Source organism: Homo sapiens, chromosome 2 (assembly GCF_000001405.40).
Source record: "Homo sapiens chromosome 2, GRCh38.p14 Primary Assembly".
Lineage (NCBI taxonomy): Eukaryota > Metazoa > Chordata > Mammalia > Primates > Hominidae > Homo > Homo sapiens.
In genome coordinates, this window is record NC_000002.12 from 42,698,649 (window position 1) to 42,722,108 (window position 23,460).

At 39.7% G+C, this 23,460-nt stretch overlaps 1 protein-coding gene and 1 pseudogene across 6 annotated transcripts in view; both read left to right on the forward strand.

The window, feature by feature from the left end:
- Positions 1–23,460, forward strand: part of MTA3 (metastasis associated 1 family member 3) — a 262,837-nt gene that overhangs the window by 204,539 nt on the left and 34,838 nt on the right. For 4 of the 6 annotated variants that reach the window (NM_001282755.2, NM_001282756.2, NM_001330443.2 and 1 more), the window contains 4 exons: positions 5,549–5,670; positions 9,255–9,406; positions 10,226–10,448; positions 20,340–20,426. In NM_001282755.2, coding sequence (NP_001269684.1) covers positions 5,549–5,670; positions 9,255–9,406; positions 10,226–10,448; positions 20,340–20,426 — 584 coding nt within the window. Of the gene's footprint in view, positions 1–5,545; positions 5,671–9,254; positions 9,407–10,225; positions 10,897–20,339; positions 20,427–23,460 lie in introns of those variants that run through there. The other 2 variants (NM_001330442.2, NM_020744.4) reach the window with 2 other exon arrangements.
- RNU6-137P (RNA, U6 small nuclear 137, pseudogene) lies at positions 14,092–14,199 on the forward strand (annotated as a pseudogene).

Below are 23,460 nucleotides of genomic sequence, written 5' to 3' on the forward strand. Positions count from 1 at the left end.
TTTTCTCCCTCTTCAACCTATTTACAGTTGTTTAATAACTAGCCTTTTGTTTCTGGAATTTTGATATTTTGTATAATACATGTTTTTATATACATAGAGGAGGCCTCATAGACAATGAGTTCTGATCTTTCATATTGATCTTTTACCACAAGACAGATAACTCTGGTTTAATTTTAAGAACATGTAATTTTTACAGAGTCTGTAATTTTTATTAAGAACTGTAATAGCCCATCTGCAGAGTGGTTTCTAATTCCTTCTAAATTATATGTTTTATATGATGAATTTATAAAAGAGCCACTTCTCAAATAAAATACTGTTGCAACTCATGTGTCTTAGATTTTCAAAAGCAAGCATACCAGCTTTCTTATACTTCAAAGTGCTGCCACCATGAAATAATACATTTGGCTAGTTTTGACCAAGTAACCCAGATAATTGTTTCCATTTGGCTTTACGCTGACTTTGGAGTCAATGTAATCTAAGTCAGGGATCAACAAACTATAGTCGCAAGCCAAATCTGACCTACTGCTTGTTTTGTGAATAAAATTTTGCTTGATTTTTGTTTTTGTTTTGTGAGATGAGGTCTTGCTCTGTCACCGTGGTTTAAGTGCAGTGGTGCAGTCATGGCTCACTGCAGCCTCAACCTCCTGGGCTCAAGCGATCCTCCCACCTCAGCCCCCCAGGTAGCTGGGACTATAGGCACGCACCACCACACCCGACTAATTTATTTTTTATAGAGACAGTGTCTCCCTATGTTACCCAGGAGTTCTCATGAACAGTGGAAGTTGATTTTAAACAATGAAGAGTCATGGTCAGATTAGCACTTTAAGATCACCTGCTATATGTTGGGAAATGGTTTGAGAAAGAGGACTAAGAGTAGATGCAGAGGGACCAGTTATGAAGTTCTTGGAGAGGAAAGATAACACTAGCTTGACCTAGAGTAGTAGCTCTGGAAATGGCGTGATATTTGGAGGTGACTGACTTTTATGGCGGGCGGGGGTGTCAAGTGTGAATCCTAGGTTTCTGGCACAGTGAAGTGGGTTGTCATGCTATTTGTTAAGCTCAGAAACTGTGGCAGAGAATCAGGTTAGGTCATTTTGAGTTTATCAGAAAAGAGTTGTTCAATATGCTGTCACCAAATACTGGATGTATTGGTCTTAAACTCAGTGTGGGAAGGTCTGGACTAGAGATACATATTTGAGCTTCATCAGCATACAATAATTATATTTGAAGCCATAGATAAGATTTCTGAGGGATAGCAATAAGAAAAGGGCCTTGACTTAGCCTTGAATAAATCCAGTATTTATAGATCAGATAGAATATGATAGCTAAAATGATAGCTAGGCGAGTATGGTATCACAGAAGCTAAGAGAGGAGTGTGTTTCAGGGAGGGGGAGAGAGATTTAACAGTGTTGGATGCTGGTGGGAAATAGCCAAGTAATTTAATAACATGGAGATCATTGGTGATCTTATTGGCATGGTGAGCACTGCTGCATATGAGCCAAGGAGGTACAAGCAGATGAGAGAGGGAGTGTATAATGTTCTCTAGAGGGCAGGAGGGCTGGAATCTGGAGCACTGATGAGGAGAGTGAGGGAAGGTTTGAGCGTTAGATAAAAGGAAGGGCAATTTCATATAATGTGTCTTTTAAAACATTAAAAATGTTTGCTTACAGTCACAGATTGTCACAATGACATCAATCATTTGTCCCCTGGGAATTAATCTATAGGTACCTGGTTTTGCAGAACATATTTTATGTGATTCACATGTCTATATGCAGTCTTGGCACACTTGTTTTCCTTTTGTGATTATTATCATTAAGACAAGTGATGTATTCAATCAAATAACGTTCTAGATTCAGTTGAGCAATGAACTTTGCTCTCATTCTTTTTTAAGGCAGCTCAACTGTACATTTGTATTAGCTCTTTTTCAACACACATATTTAGCCCTGGGTTAAATATCAGAAATTTTCATATTTCTGGTAAACCTCTGGCCAGTCATTTGACCCCAAGGGGAAATCAGTTCTATCTATATATAGTAGATTTTTAAAAAAAGGAATATTGTATATTATTGAAAATGCTGGTCATTCTAAATCGCCACTTTTCACTTAGTATAGTGTCAGCTGAAAACCGTAAGAAGAGAAACACCTTCCATCTGATTTAAAATATGTTTTAGGGCCAGGTGCAGTGGCTCATGCCTGTAATCCCAGCAACTTGGGAAGCTGAGGCAGGAAGACTGCTTGAAGCCACGAGTTTGAGATCAGTCTGCACAAAATGGACCTCGCCTCTACAAAAAAATTTAAAAATTATCCAGACATGGAGGCAAATGCCTGTAGGCCCAGTTACTTGGGAGGCTGAGGTAGGAGGATTGCTTGAACCTGGGGGTTTGATGCTGCAGTGAGTTGTGATCATGCCACCGCACTCTAGTCTGGGCAACAGAGTGAGACCCTGTCTCTAAAAAAATTAAGTAGATAGATAATAAATAATACATTTTTATAATTATCTATTTTATAACCAGGCATGGTGGCGTGTGACTGTAGTCCCAGCTACTCAGGAGGCTGAGGTGGGAGGATCACCTGAGCCTGAGAGGTTGAGGCTGCAATGGGCCATGGTCATGCCACTGCACTCCAGCCTGGGTGACCCTGCCTCAAAAAAAAAAAAAAAAAAAAATTAAAGGCCAGGCATGGTGGCTCACACCTGTTGAGAAGTTGAGGTGGAATGATCCCTTGAGCCCAGGAACTCAAGACCAGCCTGGGTAACATAGAGTCCCTGTATCTATCAAAAAAAAAAAAAAAAAGTAAATAAAGAGCCAGGCATGGTGGCACACACCTGCAGTCCCAGCTACTTGAGAGGCTGAGGTGGGAGTATCACCTGAGCCCAGGAGGTCAAGACTGCAGTGAGTGGTGATCACACCACTACACACCAGCCTGGGTGACAGAGTGAGACCCTCTCTCAAAAAAAAGAAAAATGTCTTTTAAAAACCAATTTGTTGGCTGGGCACAGTGACTTACGCCTGTAATCCCAGCACTTTGGGAGGCCGAGGTGGGTGGATCACCTGAGGTCAGGAATTTGAGACAAGCCTGGCCAACATGGTGAAACCCCGTCTCTACTAAAAATACAAAAATTAGCTGGGTATGGTGGCGGGAGCCTGTACCAGCTACTTGGGAGGCTGAGGCAGGAGAATCGCTTGAACCTGCCGGGGGCAGAGGTTGCAGTGAGCCGAGATCACGCCACTGCACTCCAGCCTGGGCGAAAGAGTGAAACTCCATCTCAAAAAAAATAAATAGGCTGGGCATGGTGGCTCACGCCTGTAATCCCAGCACTTTGGGAGGCTGAGGTGGGCAGATCACCTGAGGCCAGGAGTTTGAGACCAGCCTGGCCAACATGGTGAAACTCCGTCTCTACTAAAAATGTAAAAATTAGGCAGGCGTGGTGGCAGGCACCTGTAATCCCAGCTCCTCAGGAGGCTGAGGCAGGAGAATCGCTTGAACCTGGGAGGTGGAGGTTGCAGTGAGCCAAGATCGTGCCATTGCACTCCAGCCTGGGTCACAAGAGCGAGACTTTGTCTCAAAAAGTAAATAAATAAATAAAATAAAAATAAAAACCAATTTGTCCTTAACATACATTGCTGACACAGGTTAGAAGTGTAAATAATAGTCCTATTTTATAGAGTAGAGATCTCAGTGCACACAGTGGTTAAATGATTTCTTCTGGTAGCAGTGGTGGGAGTGTCACCTGATAGTTGTAATAACAATACCAAAAGGAAATCTTAAGTAGGGTCTTTGCTGTCAGGCCAGACCAACTTTACAAACCAGGCTTTAACAGGTGAATGGAATTGTGGAAAGTGGAAGACCTTGAGTCAACTCTGACTTCAGCTGTCTTGATAGTTGTGAGGTCTCATTGCATCAGTAGATATGGGAAGACAGCATATAATCTGCATTTAGCCATTCAGCATTCATTTCCGATAAATTATTTACTGATTTATTTTGCTTATTTTCTGTTTAGCAAATAAACACAAAAAGTATCGAGAATGAAAGCTCCTTGAGGTCAGAGACTTATTTATTAGGCACTGAACAAATACATGTTAAATGAATTATGAATTTATTGAGAACGTACTATGTGTACCTGTGCAGTGTTCTGGGGCACGGTTTATAAGCAGCGGGGGAGTTAGCCTACCGTACATGGGGAAAAGTTAGCCTTGTTTGCCTGGGAAATACCAAGATAATCTGGGCTGCACGTTTCTAAGGAATTAATGGCTCTGTTGACTTGGTCTTTGGGAAATTTGCATATACACTTCTGGTAGATGTCTCTTCCCCTCCCTGCTCCCCAAAAGAAAGGGTCTCCCTCTGTTGCCCAGGCTGGAGTGGAGTACAGTGGCATGATCATGGCTCACTGCAGCCTCTAACTCCTGGGCTCAAGTGATCCTCCCACCCTAGCCTTCTGAGTAGCTGGGACTACAGGCGCAGGCACCTATGCCTGGGTAATTTTTATTTTTGTTTTTGTAGAGACAGAGTCTCACTGTGTTGCCCAGGCTGGTCTCCGAACTCCTGGCTTCAAGTCATCCTCCTGCCTCTCTTTTCTCCTCTTAAAAAATACTGTCTTAAAAAGGAAAACCTCCAAATACCTTTACTGGTTTTTAAAATTTCAAATGCTATGTAATATTTCTGATAAAATTTCAGATGTAATCGGAGTGGTCATCATGAGTGGCCAGAAGCTCCTGAAGTCCTAAGTGACCTAGAGATGGGCCCTGTTGACCCCGCAGCATCTGCTAAGCGTGTGGCTTTTGTGCAGCTCCCTGGAGAGCTGGAGTGCAGTAGCCACAGCCCCCACACCAGCAGCAGGAACTGAAGAGTGGCTTTCTCGAAACACAACCATGTTGCCTTTCACTTAATTTGTTTGATCCAAATAATTATTTTCTCGGGAGAATTTATAAACGATAACTTGTCTCTTTCAAAAGTGTCAGAGGGGCCGGGCACGGTGGCTGACGCCTGTAATTCCAGCACTTTGGGAGGCCGAGGCAGGCGGATCACGAGGTCAGGAGATCAAGACCATCTTGGCTAACACGGTGAAACCCCGTCTCTACTAAAAATGCAAAAAGTTAGCCGGGCGTGGCGGCGGGCGCCTGTAATCCCAGCTACTAGGGAGGCTGAGACAGGAGAATTGCTTGAACCCGGGACACGGATGTTGCAGTGAGCCGAGATCGCGCCACTGCACTCCAGCCTGGGCAACAGAGCGAGACTCCGTCTCCAAAAAAAAAAAAAAGTGTCAGAGGATGTTCTAAGGAAATTGTATTCGGACCAGAAAAGAGATGGGACAGTATTTACTTCGTGAATGTCAGGCATAAGCAATTCCTTTTTTCATAGACTCGTTTTATAAAGATGAGTAGTGTGAGTTCATTTAACACCTTGGTTTTACCAGTTTATTTCTTCTTCACACATTTTAAAATGTTTGTTTATGTTTATTAAATAGTGACGGTAAATCAGTAATGATATAGAGCTTTTTGCCTTATTGTACAAATCATTTTATCACCTTATTTTAATTTCATTGAAAGCAGCAAACCAAATCCCAACCAAATATCCACTAGTAATGGGAAGCCTGGTGCTGTGAATGGAGCTGTGGGGACCACGTTCCAGCCTCAGAATCCTCTCTTAGGGAGAGCCTGTGAGAGCTGCTATGGTAAGTTTTCTCTAGCAGGTCAGTTAAGCATCGGGAACTGTTCTGGCTCATGGGGTGTGAGCGTCTGGGAAGTGCCTGAGGTCAGTACGGTGCACCTTGGAAGGCACAAGCATGTCTCCTCTAAATGAGTAGATGCCCCTCCTTACCTTCTGCCTGGAACAGAGGGACTGTTTATTGAATCCTTATTACGTACCACACACTCAAGTTAGGCATTGGATTTCCCTTGATGTACTCTTGTGGTTTGTTGATTATTTCATAGCAGTGTTTGCTGAGTTGTGTTTAGAGTCATATTAGCTTTGCAGAAACTGTGTTCCCATGATGCATACCAAATTCCCCTTTGGAGTTTCTCAGTATACTTTGACAAATTAAAGCTCCAAGTAATTCTGTAGGAAAGGCCTCTGTGTGGATAAGCTGCTGTATATAATCCTCAGACCATGTTCCCTCAGTGCACCAGTTTGGGAAATGCTCTTCTATGATACTTGCTTTTGGCCTCAGGATCCCACTGTATTTATCTATGGTGGCAGTATTTTATTTGCCCAGGGTGTTAAATGGGGTCGGTGAAGTGAACCGTTAGGTAGTTGATAGACTTTGTGTGTTTATTTTAAATCTCAAGCAAGGATACAATATCTTAATGGGGCATTGGTGATATTATCATCTATGTTTCCTTCCAGTTAAGGTAGCCTGGGATGGGAGAGGGAAGGAAACGAATGTTTATTGAAAACCTACTTGGTGCCCCATTTTGGGTTCTTAGTAGCTCTTTGAGAGTACATGTAGCCTACTGCCTTCAGGAAGGATATAGGAATGAGGGACGGCTGTGAGTACGATTACGTCGATTGATCCCAAGGAAGGTGTGAGCCAAGTTGCTGAATTTGTAGAAATGGTACATGGGGATGTGTTTAACCATTTTTTTGCAGCATGGGAGCACAAAGGGAAACAATTTGTGGAAAATTAAGATTTTTTAGGTCAGGCTTTTACATGGATAGCATCATAAATACCTTGAATTGGGAATTCTTGGATTTTGTAGTTCATGTATATTCAAATGAAAATGAAAAGAATCCTGCAGACAAGTGGTAGTGGCTTAACCTGTCTTGATTTTAACTTGCAGGCAGGGTGCTGTGGCTCATGCCTGTAATCCCAGCACTTTGGGAGGCTGAGGCGGGTGAATCACCTGAGGTCAGGAGTTCGAGACCAGCCTGGCCAACATGGTGAAACCCCGTCTCTACTAAAAATACCAAAAATTAGCCAGGCATGGTGGCATGCACCTGTAATCCCAGCTACTCAGGAGGCTGAGGCAGGAGAATAGCTTGAACCCAGGAGGCAGAGGTTGCAGTGAGCTGAGATTGCACCATTGCACTCCAACCTGGGTGACAGAGTGAAACATCGTCTCCCCCCCGCCCCCAAAAAAAAAATTAACTTGCAAACCCCTTTCACACTCACGTATATCCCCTTAAATGATTATTCTGTTATTTTTATGTGTGCATGATGAATAAGCTATTTTTATTTTATAATATTTACTTTAGACTCATGTATTACTAATCTCCATGATAAAATGTTATCTTAATATAAGATTTATCCTTACAGAGAGATAGAACTTGATGTTTTCTATTTATTAAATGATACCTACTTTCCAATTGAATTTGAGTTATTTAAGGAGAAAGGCATTTATTGACAATTATTAAAATGATTTGCATGATTAGTTTACGTAAAATGTATGTTTTAAGTGAAATTTTATATTTAGAATTCAAAATAGATTCATAGCTTAATGTTTAAGATTTTGAAGGGGAACATCACATCTGGGGACTGCTGTGGGGTGGGGGGAGCAGGGAGGGATAGCTTTAGGAGATATACCTAATGCTAAATGACGAGTTAATGGGTGCAGCACCCCAGCATGGCACATGTATACATATGTAACTAACCTGCACATTGTGCACATGTACCCTAAAACTTAAGGTATAATAATAATAAAATAAAAAATTTAAAAAATGACTTATTAGTTCTAAATTATAGGAGGAAAGGCTTTTAGGCTTTCATTTGTATAAAATAGTTATTTGTATAAATGAAAGCCTAAAATAGGCCTAAAATATTTACACAAATAAAAGCCTAAAATAATAATCCTCCAAAAATAATACATGATGGGTGTACAGTGTTATTCCCGATAAACATGAATATAATGGTCTCTGTATTTTCTCTTTTTCACATTGGTTTGTGAAGTGTTAGTTGATATCTTCATGTGCTGTTTGAACATTTGAAGGTAACTTACAGGTCAGAGAAATAATATTTTAAGGCAAACTTACAGAATTACAATTTTTTATGCACCCAATTAACTTATGTCTCAACCTCAATGTTTTCTCTTAAACTTCAGATCTATCACACATGTATTTTAAATGTCACATGTCAGTAATTTAAACTACAAAACAAAAACTAACACAAGCTTACAGTGTTCAGCTAGCTGTTAAATCATCTGAGTTTTAGGCCTCAAGCATGCTGTGATGTCAGCTGCCCATGCTCACTTCATATGGATTTAGAGTCTTGAAAGGGATTCTGTCTGTAAATGGAGATTTTAAAATAAGGATTTTACTTATTGATTAAAATAAAGGAGTGCAAAACAGATACCTGTTTGTTTCTTCTCTCCTCCCCTACTCCCTCCCTCTTCCCCTCCCCAGCCCCCTCCTCCTCCCCGCTTCCCTCTGTAACCCAGGCTGGAATGCAGTGGTGCAATCACAGTGGCCTCAACCTCCCAGGCTCAAGCAGTCCTGCTGCCTCAGTCTCTGTAGTCGCTGGGACTACAGGGGTTCACCACCACACCTGGCTGACAGATACCTGTTTTTATTAGATTCCTGACTTTATCAATGAGACCTCCCTGAGTACCTTAAATAATCCTTGGAGTGGTGTCTGAACCCTGGGTTTGGAAACGTGGATTTAGATTTTTTTTTTTTTTCTTTTGAGATGGAGCCTCACTCTGTCGCCCAGGCTGGAGTGCAGTGGCGTGATCTCAGCTCACTGTAACCTCTGCCTCCCACATTCAAGCAATTCTACTGCCTCAGCCTACCGAGTAGCTAGGACTACAGGTGCGTGCCACCATGCCTGGCTAATTTTTTTTGTGTGTTTTCAGTAGAGACGGGGTTTCACCGTGTTAGCCAGGATGGTCTTGATCTCCTGACCTCATGGTCCGCCTGCCTCAACCTCCCAAAGTGCTGGGATTACAGGCGTGAGCCACCATGTCCGGCCCCAGATTTTTTAAATACTACCATCTTTTTGAGAACCTATTTCCAGAAACATACACAATAGAGTATTTTTAATCAACAAAACAAAAACTCCCTCAGCAGCACAATGCATAATACAGGATGCTTCACTGAATAGCTTTAACAGGGCCACAAGCACTTTATATAATAATGGAAATAAGTTGGTTTAATGAATTCTGAGTATTAAAAAAACAAATATACTATTATGTTTGGCTTGTAAGCTGGGAACAATAACATTGTAAACTAAGCATGACAAGTATTTTTAAAATGTTTGATTATTTTGTGTTGATGTTACAAATTAAATAGCATTTTTCGTTTTTTCTTATTTTTCTTCTGCTTTAGCTACACAGTCTCACCAGTGGTATTCTTGGGGCCCACCTAATATGCAGTGTAGATTATGTGCAATTTGTTGGCTTTATTGGAAAAAATATGGAGGCTTGAAAATGCCCACCCAGTCAGAAGAAGAGAAGTTATCTCCTAGCCCAACTACAGAGGTACAGTAGTCTTTTTAGTGTTGAAAAATGGCATGTTTTTAAATGGGTTGATTATTCCTTGGAAACAGAAGTACAGTATAGGATAATTAAAAAATGAAGAAAGCTACCTTTATAGCTAAACGTAGCACTACAATATTCAGGGTAGGTGTGGAGAGAAGCAGAGAGAAATTAAATTTTATCAGGTATTCAGAATAATGGTCTCAGACAAAAAAACAATGAGTGTGGGAGATGTTAGCATAAGTAGAGAGCTTACAAATTAAATGTTTAATTGCTTTTGAAAACAGTTCGTAACCTTTACATTCTGTTGAAGGCGTGTCTTACTACATAAAGTCATAAATGCAAATTAAGCATTTTTTCTCCCCGTGGCTGTTTTGGAGGGACAAGAAGTATGGACTTAATCTTGAGGTGAACAACAGTTTAAATGTGATTTTGGTAAAATCCTCATAGGCTGAAGATGCCAAACGCCTGTGTTTACCAGTGGGCGACTACCCTTTTTCAGTGCTGACGGGCTTTCAGGACTCCTTAATTTAAAAAAAAGTGTAGTTAACCCCCTTGGCAGTTTCATACCACTTACTGTGAATGTGATTTTGGATTCCTGTATAGCAGTACAGTATTCTCCACAGTTCCCTTCTCTACTCCCCACCTCTTTCCCAAAAGTGCACACTTTAATTCTCTCTTTTAGAGGTAGTGCACCAAGTGACGTTATAGATGCTTCATGAAAGATTTAAAAGTTGCACTTTTCTTTTGAGCATGATGCAAACAGTAACGTGTTTGGGCAAGTTCACTTCCTTGAGTGTTTGTTGTTTTCTGATTTTGCAGGACCCTCGTGTTAGAAGTCACGTGTCCCGCCAGGCCATGCAGGGAATGCCAGTCCGAAACACTGGGAGTCCAAAGTCTGCAGTGAAGACCCGCCAAGCTTTCTTCCTTCATACTACATATTTCACAAAATTTGCTCGTCAGGTCTGCAAAAATACCCTCCGGCTGCGGCAGGCAGCAAGACGGCCGTTTGTTGCTATTAATTATGCTGCCATTAGGGCAGAATGTAAGATGCTTTTAAATTCTTAACCTTATATGTTGTGCTTCTGACCATTTTCTCTTTTCCTCTCTTTCCTTTTTTTTTTGTTTGTTTGTTTGCAATAAACATAAGTTCTTGTGTACAGCCTTTTATTTGGTTTATTTTTTAACATTGTTTTTGTGTGCTGCCATTTGTATCATGCCAACCTGGAAAAAAAAAATCAAAACATTGAAACTTCTGTACTCTTTACCAGAGAGTAGTGCTTAGCAAAAGATTGGTGGGAGGTGATCCTATTCCATGGGGTTTTGTGATGGAATTGCCTGCAGAGCCCTTATTGAAGCACTTTTACCTTTTAGGTAGTGCCACAATGTAACCCCTAAGGATGCTGTTATAATGAGACTCCATAATCGAGACAGTACAGTCCAGTCTTACATGGATTCATTAGGTTTAAATAAAATTTGCCAATTTACACTAATTAGAGACTGTATGTCTTTGTAAACCTCTCGTTTTTCTCATGAACCTTTTACAATTGTCATACAACATTATGGAAATTCACCCTTGATTCATAACAAATACTATATTTATTAGAAGGTCTAGCAAATTACAAGTAAATTTTAAACTCATTTTTGGGTGAGTTTTCTGAAATTACACATTGCATTTTCATAAGCTAGCATCTAAACATATGGTTGAGCAGCCTGTTTGTCCAGTTTGGTTTCCATTTCATGATCATGTATCATATATATCACCACATAACATTTACATGACTTACTACTCTTATTTTCAACACATTTGGTCTTGCTTATCTTTTTTATTTTTATTTTTGTTAGCACAGAGATCATATGTGTCCATGAATTGTGGATCGTTTTGTCATTACCATGTCTCTGACAATATGTGTATAATTAATATGTTAGCTCTGGAGTCACATTCCAGGCTAGCATGTTAGAGCCGTGCAGCTTTTGTTCCTTAAGGGGTGACAAAACTTGCTGTCTGGCCTAACAGATAGGAAATCCTAAAGCCATTCTAAGAAATCTCTTACTATGAAATGTTCCCCTTTGATTTAAAGAGGATATCAATAAAAGGAATGATGACTGAAAAAAACATTTTTTGTTCCTAAAGATAATTTTTAGCAGAATAGTTGAAAGGCTTTAAAACTTAAGTAGCAGCTCTATAAGAAGAAAAATGCTTTGTAAAGGGAGTTGAGGGCTGGGCGCGGTGGCTCATGCTTGTAATCCCAGTACTTTGGGAGGCCGAGGTGGGTGGATCACCTGAGGTCAGGAGTTCGAGACCAGCCTGGTCAACATGGTGAAACTGTCTCTACTAAATATACAAAAATTAGCCAGGCGTGGTGGCAGGCGCCTGTAATCCCAGCTACTCAGGAGGCCAAGGCAGGAGAATTGCTTTAAACCGGGAGGCAGAGGTTGCAGTGAGCTGAGATTGCGCCATTGCGCTCCAGCCTGGGCAATGAGCGAAACTTCATCTCAAAAAAAAAAAAAAAAAAAAAAAAAGAAAGTGGTAGCAATGTCAGAGTCCCACAGAAGGGGGATTACTATATTAGATTCATGTATATTTGAGAGTTTAGGCTTATATTTAGGTTTTGTGCTAGCATTTGAGACCTCATGGACTTACGTTACCACTTTCCCATTTTGGGAATTAGAAATATTTATAGTCTAAATTGTTCAGCTCATTTAAAACACATTTTCATGTAATTTTTTAAATAAAATGGTGAAGACCAGTCACGGTGGCTTACGCCTGTAATCCTAGCACTTTGGGAGGCCGAAGTGGGCAGATCACCTGAGGTCAGGAGTTAGAGACTAGCCTGGCCAACATGGTGAAGCCTCATCTCTACTAAAAATTCAAAAATTAGCCAGGCATGGTGGCACACGCCTGTAATCCCAGCTGCTTGGAAGGCTGAGGCAAGAGAATCACTTGAACCTGGGAGGCAGAGGTTGCAGTGAGCTGAGATCATGCCACCGCACTCCAGCCTGGGCAACACAGACTCCGCATTAAAAAATAAATAAATAAATAAAAATTAAAAAGTAAAACATTTAAGAATGAAAATGAATGAGACTTTTCCATTAAGATTGGTGGGGATCCAGTATCATCTTTGTCCTAGGACTAGAAGAGAAACCATCAGCAACTCAGTTGGCTGCTGAGGAAACTCTGTTTCCCCAGGGCTTGTGTGTTAATTTTCAGTTAATTTGCACATTATCTTTGTTTTGATTATTCTTCAATGAAGTATATTTTTCTTTTATCTCGTTCTAATTTTTTTCTCAATTGACGGGCCATGCTGCTAAAAGGGATCATAATTAAGTTACCTGTATTTTATTTCTATAAGCATATAGATTATAGTAATCATAAAAGAGCAGTCGTCTATCTGGATGAAATTCAGAGAGCATGTATTATTTTGTTTTGTATTTAGCTTCACTGGTCATTGAGTTGTACATAATCAGATTCTTAAATAATTTTACCTTGAGATTTAAAATGACAGTGTTTCAGCAGCCGTCTACTCTTTTTTATTTTTCAGACAAGCAATGAACTTTTCCTAACATCTAATTGATTATGCTATCATCTCTTCTGTTCTTATACTTACCTTGTTACAACCTCTTCAGCAGATGTCTTGATCTTGGCTTGTTAGGGAGATTAGGTATTAATAACCTGATGTCCATAGGCAACCATGTCTGTGATCTACTGGGAGTGTATAGGAGAGAGAGAGAGTGTGTGTGTGTGTGTGTGTGTGTGTGTGTGTTTTCCAGTAAGTTTTCCTTAGTTTCTCAAAGGCAGTGTTAGGCCCTCCTCCACCCTGCAGAAAGTTAAGAATCGCTGTGATGCAATGTGAATGTACTTTCAGATAAGGCTGAAGTGTGTTATTCTCAAAATATTGATGGATCTAGAGTTCTAATTAATGCATTTTAGAATAATTTATTAGTTCTTCCCTGTGAGCTTGAGACTCTTCCAAGCACTGTAGAAGGTGACCTCTTCAATTGCCTCTGGCCACGGCAGCACCATCACAACCAGTGTCATAGTCAGTTTATGGGATGACACTGCATGAAAGTGAAGAAATGGGAGCTTTTTAAACCTGTATTAAAGCAAATAGTAAAAACAAAAAAGGTCTTTGCAGATTCATAAAATATCTCAAAGAATATGTAAAGAGTAATGACATCTGAGGTAAGGGAACCTGGGAGGGTGAGGGAAAGGGGTGGGAAGATTTACCACTCTTCATCCATATATAGGAATTTTTTTTTTTAAGAGACGGTCTTGCTCTGTTGCCCATGCTCTGGAGTGCAGTGGTACCATCATAGCTCAGTGCAGCCTTGAACTCTGGGGCCCAAGTGATCCTCTTGGCTTCTGAGTAGGTGGGACTATGGGTGTGGCCCACCACACCGGTTAATTTATTTTTTTTAGAGATGGGGCCTCACTATGAAAAATTTATTTTTTAAACCAATTTCCCCAAATACCTAAATATTATTTTAATAATCTTTATATGTGAATGTATAAATCCATGCCAAAAGTTACTAACATTGGTAAAATGCCTGAGCCAGTTCTACCACGTAGACAGTACTTATTAAAAATGGATTGGTAGACCAAAATTCTTCATTGCATAAAGAAACGTACTGTTTTCTTAAGATTTGTGGCCCAACAGCAAGGTTATAAAATACCAAGTTTGGACATCGTGCTCACTTCAGCAGCACATATACTAAAAATTGGAATGATATGGGGAAGATAATCATGGCCCTGAGCAAGGATGACAACACAAATTAGTGAAGTGTTCCATATTTTATTAAAAAAAAAAAGTTAGCCGTCTTTTCTTTTTTCCCCCCTGAGGTCCCTCCCCCTAGTAAAAAAGCTATGTATGGGAGAATGACGTTCCTCTGTTATTGTCATCAGACGTTATTTCAGAGACTTCACCAAAGATCTACAGAATCATCCAAACACCTGATGCACACAGGATTATCAGCACTTGAGACTCAGGATCCTCACAGACTGAGGTTAAATAGAAGTAGGTTTACTAGCAACATTCCAAAGATGAAGCTAAAGTGCCTGGAAAAGTAAATCCGGATGATTTGCCTGGCACCTTGGTGGCTTGCAGAGAGAGTGAAGTGGTTTGGGCTGATAACATACCAGACTTGAATGGGCCACAGTATTCCCCTGTATGAGGTTATTTGGGAGGAACCTGAAGCTATTTTTCTGTTTGAAGAAGCTAATTTGGCTTTGGAAGTATCTCAAGACCCCACTTGATGAAAAATGTGTTTTATGAGATTTTTCTAGAGATTTCTCAGCTAAAGTTAATGAGTATAAGCTTTTCTGAAATTTTAAGCTTGAATCATGAGAGAATAGTTGGTTTGCTTCTTTTGGTATTTTTGGTAGAGAGTTTAAATTTTTTTTTTAGTATGTGCCTTGTGGTATAAGCCGAGGGAGTTTAATAAAAATTTGGTTTTGAATGGATACTGAAAAATTTTTCTAAAGGTACAAAAGTGGTTACAAATCTCATCACGTTCCTCATTCCTGATTTACCCCATTCAATGATAACCATTATCATCGTTGCCTTAAGTATCCAAAAAATATTCTGTGCATCTATAAGAGTCTAAGTAGGCTTATTGTTTGTTTCTATATGATATTAACATACTGTCTATATTGCTCTGTCCCTTGCTGCTTTTTACTTAACATACCGTGCCACTGTATTGAAAACTGCCTCCTTTTTGTGTCAGCTGCATAATCTATTTTGTTGTACCATAACTAGTTTCCTATTAAAAGCTTTTAAGTTATTTTCAGTCATTTTCTATCATAAATAATGTTGCAACAAATATCCTTATGCAGATATCATTTCATACTGATGTATAAAATGGGAATGTTCCTTACAAGATAGATCCCTAAAAGTTAAAGTTGGGGCCAAGGAGCATACATTTTGAATTTTGGTGTAGTTTTATTGCCCGTAGAAAAACTGCAATTCACAGTCCCACTCACAACATCTAGACAATTCCTATTTCTCTAGAACTTTGCTGGCAGTGTTACCCATCTTTGAAACCCGTGACTAATTGACAGATGACAAGTTATATTAGCTTGCATTTCTCATTTTGAATGAGATAGAAATCTTTGCCTATATTTGAAAACCATTTATCTCCTTTTCTGTCAACTGTTTTTGCCCGTGGCCTGTTTTCTATTGGCAGTCTTACTGACTTGTGGGAACTTTTTATATTTTAACAAAGTTATCTCTTAATCTGTGATATGTGATACAAATAGTTCCCCCGTTTTCTCTTTGACTTTATGGTGTATTTGCCAAGCAGATTTTTTTTTAAAAAAAGACATATTAATAGTTGAATTTATAAAAAAAAAATCATGAGTTTTGTGGCTTCTTTAAAAATACCTTTCCAGTTCTAGAAGCAAACTCTACTGATAGTTTTATCTTGACAGGGTTCTTGAATGCACATGTGGGATGTTTTTGTGAATTCTGTGTGTATATTGCAGGGTTTCCATCTCACTGCCCCCAGTATTTCCAAAACACTGTAGAAAAATAACCATGAGTTTCAACAAAAGTAATAGTGTATTTCTAGGTTAACCCCAAGGAAATATAGATCATCCTCTAGGACAGTGGTCCCCAACCTTTTTGGTACCAGGGACAGGTTTCATGGAAGACAATTTTTTCATGAACTGGGTGGTGTGGGCCGTGATGGTTTTGGGATGAAACTGTTCCACCTCAGATCATCAGGCATTAGTTAGAGGCTCATAAGGAGCAGGCAATCTAGATCCCTCGCATAGCGGTTCACAATAGGGTTAGCGCTCCTATGAGAATCTAATGCTGCCACTGACCTGACAGGAGGCGGAGCTCAGGCGGTAATGCTCACCTGCTGTCCGGCCCAGTTCCTAACTTGCTACCACTAGTACTGGTCTGAGGCCTGGGGCTTGGGGACCCCTGCTCTAGGAAACTAAAGACATGTTCCTTGTGACCAGTCAAGTGACTTGAGTGAGATATAGATGTTCTCTCTGGACAGGTTTTGATTCCTTCTGGGTTCTTTGGGGATTTCTCAGATTGCTTTCATTATCTGTGACTTCAAATGCATATCTCCCTGTTGAAGTGGAGTTAGGTGAGTAATTTGGGAGCAAGGACTGTCTGACAAGTGGCAGCATTGTTGGCCTGGCATTGAGTGCAGCCCAGCATTCCTTCTAACCAACTCAAGTGTGGGCCAGACAATCCCACCTATGGCTATTTCCTCAGGGCCAACTGTATTTTTCCTACTGAATGGCAACAACTTTTCTTATGTTAAAGAGTGACTAAGGCAGTCCTAGAATCTTTTCACTCTAATTTTTTCACAGTTGAGACATAATTCTTGCCACCAACTACTTTTTTTTTTTTTTTTTTTTTTTTGAGACAGGGTCTTGCTCTGTCACCCAGCCTGGAGTGCAGTAGCGTGATCATGGCTCACTATAGCCTCTAACTCAAGGGATCCTCCCTCCTCCTCCTCCTGAGTAGCTGGAACTTTCTATAAAATATTATGAGGATTAGTGAAATATGCTTCTTTCTAAAAAGCTTTGATCTCCCATTCAGAGGTACTCTGTAATGCAAATTGTCACTTAGAACATCATATAATTAATCCTCCTATTTTTAATGAGAAATTAGAAGCAAATATAGTTTAAAATGAAGTATCTTTGGGTATTGTGTTGGTGACCTCTTTGATGGATTTGTTGATGATAGCCATCAATGTCTATCAATTGCTGCCATATTGGCAGTTTTCCTTTGGGTCATCTAGACTGGAATAAAAGGCAAATCTTATTACTAGTAATATGGTGATTGCCTTTGTCAAGACATTGAGGAAATAACCAAGATGACTCATTCCAGCTTTATTAATAGAGAAGAAAGAAAAATTTATCTTGTCCTTATCCCAAATATAACTTGAATTTCAGGTGAATCAGTAATATTAGCAAGAAATTATGTAGTGTTAACTCAATGGTTTGGCAGGCGTTTGATCCTTACAGGCTTTGGGTTGCTTCCTAGTGTTTATTTAGATTACTCTTCCACAAGATGTTTATTATATTTCTGCCTGTATCTTCACTATTATTCAACAATAGGTGAAAAGCTTCATAGCTTAGTAATTTATTTTTTCTCCTGGGAATCACCTGAATAGGAAGAAAAGAAATTGGATCATTTATACTTGTCAGTGGTTGCATAATAATTAGCCAATATCTGGGTGCTATATTTTCAGATTCCTGATTGTTTTAGGCTCTCTGCAGTATGTGCTTTGTCTATTTTAATGTTTTTAAACTTATTTTTTAACTTTTAAAAAAGTTCAGGGGTACATGTGCAGGTTTGTTATATAGGTAAACTTGTGTCAAGGGGGTTTGTTGTACAGATTATTTCATCATCCAATTATTAAGCCTAGTACCCATTAGTTATTCTTCCTGATACTGTCCCTCCTCTCACCCTCCACCCTCCAATAGGCCCCAGTGTCTGTTGCTCCCCTCTGTGCATCCATGAGTTCTCATCATTTAGCTCCGACTCATAAGTGAGAACATGCAGTATTTGGTTTTCTGTTACTGTATTAGTTTGCTAAGGATAGTGGCCTCCAGCTCCATCCATGTTCCTGCAAAGGACATGATATCGTTCTTTTCTTCTGGCTGCATAGTGTTTCATGGTGTACATGTACCACATTTTCTTTATTCAGTCTATCATTGGTGGATATTTAGGTTGATTCCATGTCTTTACTATTGTGAATAGTGTTGCAATGAACATATACATGCATGTGTCTTTATGATAGAATGATTTATATTCCTTTGGGTATATATCCAGTAGTGGGATTGTTGGGTGATAGTTCTGTTTCTAGCTCTTTGAGGAATCACCACACTGTTTTCCACATGGTTGAACTAATTTGTATTCCCATCAACCGTGTATAGCATTTCTTTTTCTCTTCAACCTGTTTTCTCTGCCAGCATCTGTTATTTTTTGACTTAATGATAGCAATTCTGACTAGTGTGAAATAGTATCTCATTGTGTTTTTTTTAACCACAATGAGAATTTTTAAAAAATGCTCTTTTGCCATCTTCGGTTTAATAATTTTCAGAAAAGAGTTTTTTTTTTTTTTTTTTTTTTTTTGGTGAAAGGGCTAGAACTCATAAAAACCTAACTTTTATTTAAAATTATTTGAAGTTCCAGACTTGCACATTTTAACTCTAGTAGAGCAAATAATTCCTGTGGGTATCAAAGGAAATTCCCTGTGTGTATGCCCAGAAATGTCTCAGTTTGCAAAAGGAAAAATTCTTCAGTAAATCAGAAAACCTGTAGGACATTTTTGTCAAATATTTGAAGGTGGGAAAAAGGCATAAACATAGTAGAATCATACAGGTTAAAGTGATTCTGTTAATATTTATGACAGTATTAAAGTGTTTCAATACACGTTTTGTTTTGTCCCTTTGTCTTGCACATCTACTCTTCCAAATGACAGCTAATTAAAACACAGAATGTTTGTATTGTATGCTTTATTTTTGTCTGAAAATGTCTTACAATAGGGTATAATGAGCATCATGAAAACTGATTAGCTAATACCCATCCTCACTGTTTCTTACTGTTCTGACTGTTGGATGAAATACTCTGTTTGCACACAGGTAGCCTTTTAAATCTCAGCACCAATGAATGACATAGCTTGATCAGGGTTAGAAAACCAGTGATAAAACCAAATGGCCCATTATTACTCTTGCAAATCCCTAGCCTAACAATTGAGTTTTGCCAAGATAGGTTAAGCCTTCACAGTGGGGAAGGGATGGCCAAGTATGGCCCATCTAGGTCAGAGATGGCGAAGTTTGTTGCCTTTAGCAGCTGTCATTTATCTTCCATGTCATTTCAATCTTACGTTAAGACTGATTCCACCTTGTGCTTTACGGCGATTATTTCTGCTATAATGTAGAAATGCCATGGCTAGAAATGAAGCATATTTCTGAGATGGGCACACGCAATAAAAAAGCATGAGTGTGTTGGATGTGTATTAGCTATACCCATATGGGGCTTTAAAGTGAGTGTTTTCCATATTACTCTGGTACCTTTTTTTTTTTTTTTTTCGCTTTATTTCTAGGGGTTAACGAGTTCTTTTGATAGCCCATGAAAACATCACATGGTTATTGTAGGCATGACCTAGATAATGGTGGTAATGTCCTTGAAGAGTGCTGTCTGTATTCTCTTGCATGTAAATTATTATTGTTATTATTATTATTGAGATGGAGTTTCGCTCTTGTTGCCCAGGCTGGAGTGCAATGGCGTGATCTTGGCTCACCGCAATGTCCACCTCCTGGGTTCAAGCAATTCTCCTGCCTCAGCCTCCCGAGTAGCTGGGATTACAGGCATGTGCCACCATGCCCAGCTAATTTTGTGTTTTAGTAGAGATGGGGTTTCTCCATGTTGGACAGGCTGGTCTTGAACTCCTGGCCTCAGGTGATCTACCCTCCTTGGCCTCCCAAAGTGCTGGGATTACAGGCATGAGCAGGTGGGCAGAACACAAGATTAGGAGTTCGAGACCAGCCTGACCAACATGGTGAAACCCCATCTCTACTAAAAACACAAAAATTAGCCCAGCATGGTGGTGTGCACCTGTAATCCCAGATACTCAGGAGGCTGAGGCAGGAGAATTGCTTGAACCCAGGAGGTGGAGGTTGCAGTGAGCTGAGAGCACGCTATTGTACTTCAGCCTGGGTGACAGAGTGAGCCTCCGTCTCAAAATAATACTACTACTAATAATTACATGTTATTTTATGTAAATCCCATTTAGAAATTGGGAACCAGAACTAGAAACCATTTTCTCAAACCCAAAAGGAAATTATGCGGGAATCTGGTGGCTATTTTGTACTGTTTTCCACTTGTACCTTTATTTCTGTGGTGCATGTAGTCTGGCTAGAGAAATCCATTTCATTGGTTATCTCCATGTTTCTTTCTCTCCTCAGATGCAGACAGACATGCTGAACTATCTGGAAGTCCACTGAAAAGCAAAAGCACTAGGAAGCCTTTGGCATGTATCATTGGGTATTTAGGTGGGTATTTTCTAATAGAGGAAAAACTCAAAGAGCAATTTCTGAATAGTATAGATATTTGGCAATTCTAAATGGACATACCTAAACTAATTCAGGCCCTTCAAATAGCCGAAATTGGATACCTTTATATAGTCAGTTTATTTTGTTTCAGAAACTTTTATTACCAGCACACACAACACACACACATACACACACAGATTTATGATATATGTCTACTTTTTCCAAAAAGCCATCGAATAAAAATGTAATATATATTCATGGAAATAAATACAGATTAAGCAAAAAAGAAAATGAAAAGCATTCAGTTAGTACTTAGGATGAATAGTCTTAATATTCTTCTTCAGATCCCTTCCCTGTTTCTAACTCACCTCACCTCTTTTTAAATAGAAGATTTATTTACTTATTAAAATGAGATCAAACTGGTTTATAACTTATCTTAAAATAATTATAGGTTTTAATTTTTTATTTTATTTGTTTTTTGTAGAGACAGGGTCTCGCTTTGTTGCCCAGGCTGGTCTCAAACTCCTGGCCTCAAGCGATCTTCCTGCCTTGACTTCCCAAAGTGCTGGGATTACAGATGTGAGCCACTGCTTCAAGCCTTAAATATTTATAGTTTTGGTGTGCTTTAGGTGACTTTGAAGGGGAGGCATTTGTATTGCTTTCTTATTTTTATCATGCCATCTGACTTGGAAATCTCCAAAGATGATAGCTCCATTTTTATGTTGAAATATCACAATTAAGAATAGTATACAAAATTACTATGCAATAATCTCTTTGTTTAAACAAAGTTTTAAGAGAAATAACTTACAAAATAATGGTTTTTCACATACCTAGAAGCAAGAATGGCATGTTTTTGTGCTTCTCATAGTTCTTTTTCAGTAAAGTGAAATATGTACTCAGAGTTGCTTTGACAGAAAGATTTATAATTATGAAATGTTCAGACTGCAGACATCAACTCTTTTAAAAATCAAAGTGTAGTCTTGAATTTGGTATATTATCTAGTCCTTACCCAAAAGAATGTTCCAGGATTCAGAGGCTCAAAGCTTCTTCTTTGATGTTACTGTACTACCTTATTCCTTGCTTTATTTATTTATTTATTTATTTATTTTATTTATTTATTTTTTTTGAGACGGAATCTCACTCTTCTGTCCAAGCTGGAGTGCAGTGGCGCAATCTCGGCTCACTGCAAGCTCCGCCTCCCAGGTTCACGCCATTCTCCTGCCTCAGCCTCCTGAGTAGGTGGGACTACAGGCATCCGCCACCACGTCCAGCTAATTTTTGTATTTTTAGTAGAGACGGGGTTTCACCTTGTTAGCCAGGAGGGTCTCAATCTCCTGACCTCATGATCCGCCCACCTCGGCCTCCCAGAGTGCTGGGATTACAGGCATGAGCCACTGCGTCCGGCCATTTCTTGCTTTATTTCTCAGGGGTTAAAGAGTTGTTTTGATATCCCCTGAAAATGTCACATGGTTATTGTACACATGACCTACGTAATGGTGGTAATGTCCTTGAAGAGTGCGGTCTGTATTCCCTTGCAGAACTGTCTCCAGATGCCCCTTCCCACCTTGCATGGGAAAGTTTCTGATCACAAAAAATAGAATAGGCCGGGCATGGTGGCTCATGCCTGTAATCCCAGTACTTTGAGAGGCAGGCGGATTGCTTGAGTCCAGGAGTTTGAGCCTGGGTAACATAGCAAAACCCTGTCTCTACCAAAAATACAAATATTAGGCAGGTGTGGTGGTGCGTGCCTGTGGTCCCAACTACTCAGGAGACTGAGGTGGGAGGATTGACCGCTTGAGCCCAGGAGGCAGAGGTTGCAGTGAGCCAAGATTGTGCCACCACACTCCAGTCCAAGTGACCAATTGAGACCCTGTCTCAAAAAAAAAAAAAAAAAAAAAAAGAAAAGAAAAGAAAAAAAGAATATAACATTATTAGCCTTTCCAAGAATAATTGTGTGCTCCTACTGTGGGCAAATTGGTCTCTATATCTACCAGATAGGCCCAGACTGTGCTGTTCTTACCAGCTGAACCACATCCCTACACAATATATTTATGAGTATTTATATGTTGAAAACACTGTACTAAGTGATTTGGGGAACACCAAGATGGGTAAGACCTTGCCCTCAAAATTCTTAGTGTAGTGGGGAAAGCAAGCAGGTAAGAACAATAAAACAAAGGATTAGATCCTGTAAAATAATTACAGGTAATATGCGTTGGGCACTTGGAGGAAGGACTGTTCTTTTTCTTTTTCTTTTTCTTTTTTTTTTTTTTTGAGATAGAGTCTCACTCTGTCACCCAGGCTGGAATACAATGTCTCCATCTTGGCTCACTGCAACCTCCACTTCCCAGGCTCAGGTGATCCTCCCACTTAAGCCTCCTGAATGGCTGGGACTACAGGTGTGCACCACCACACTTGGCTAATTTTTAAAAATTTTTGTAGAGACAGGGTTTCACCATGTTGCTCAGGCTGGTCTCGAACTCCTGGACTCATGCAGTCTGCCCACCTTGGCCTCCCAAAGTACTGGGATTACGGATGTGAGCCACTGCACCTGGCCAATGAGGGAATTTTTTCTAATGAGCGTTAGGGCAGCCTACCTGAAGAAAGTAATAGTTAATTTCAGCCTTAAAAGATATTTAGGATTCGAATAGGTAGAAAAATAGGAAAAGCGTATTCTCTTCCCTCATAAGGCCAAGACAACCAGATGAACAAAGGCTTCAGTGAGTCCAAGGACTTGAAAGCAGCTTGTTTGGTCTAGATGGAGCATAGACTGTGGAGGTTAAATGAAATGCAAGGCTGGCAAACTTGTCATGTCATGTTGGAGAAAAAAAAATCACTTTTTTCGGTGGTAGTATTTAAGCCATTTCTAAATTTTGGCAAGTGTGGGACTTTGACCAGAGCTGTAGTAATTCTAACAATTCCAATGGCTTTTCCTAAATTCCAGTAAATAAGGGTGATATCTCAGCCCTTACCTTCAGTGAAAGGGTGAGAAGGCAGGGTGGCTTGTGTGTAGTTGGCCAGCTGCATGATGACTCTG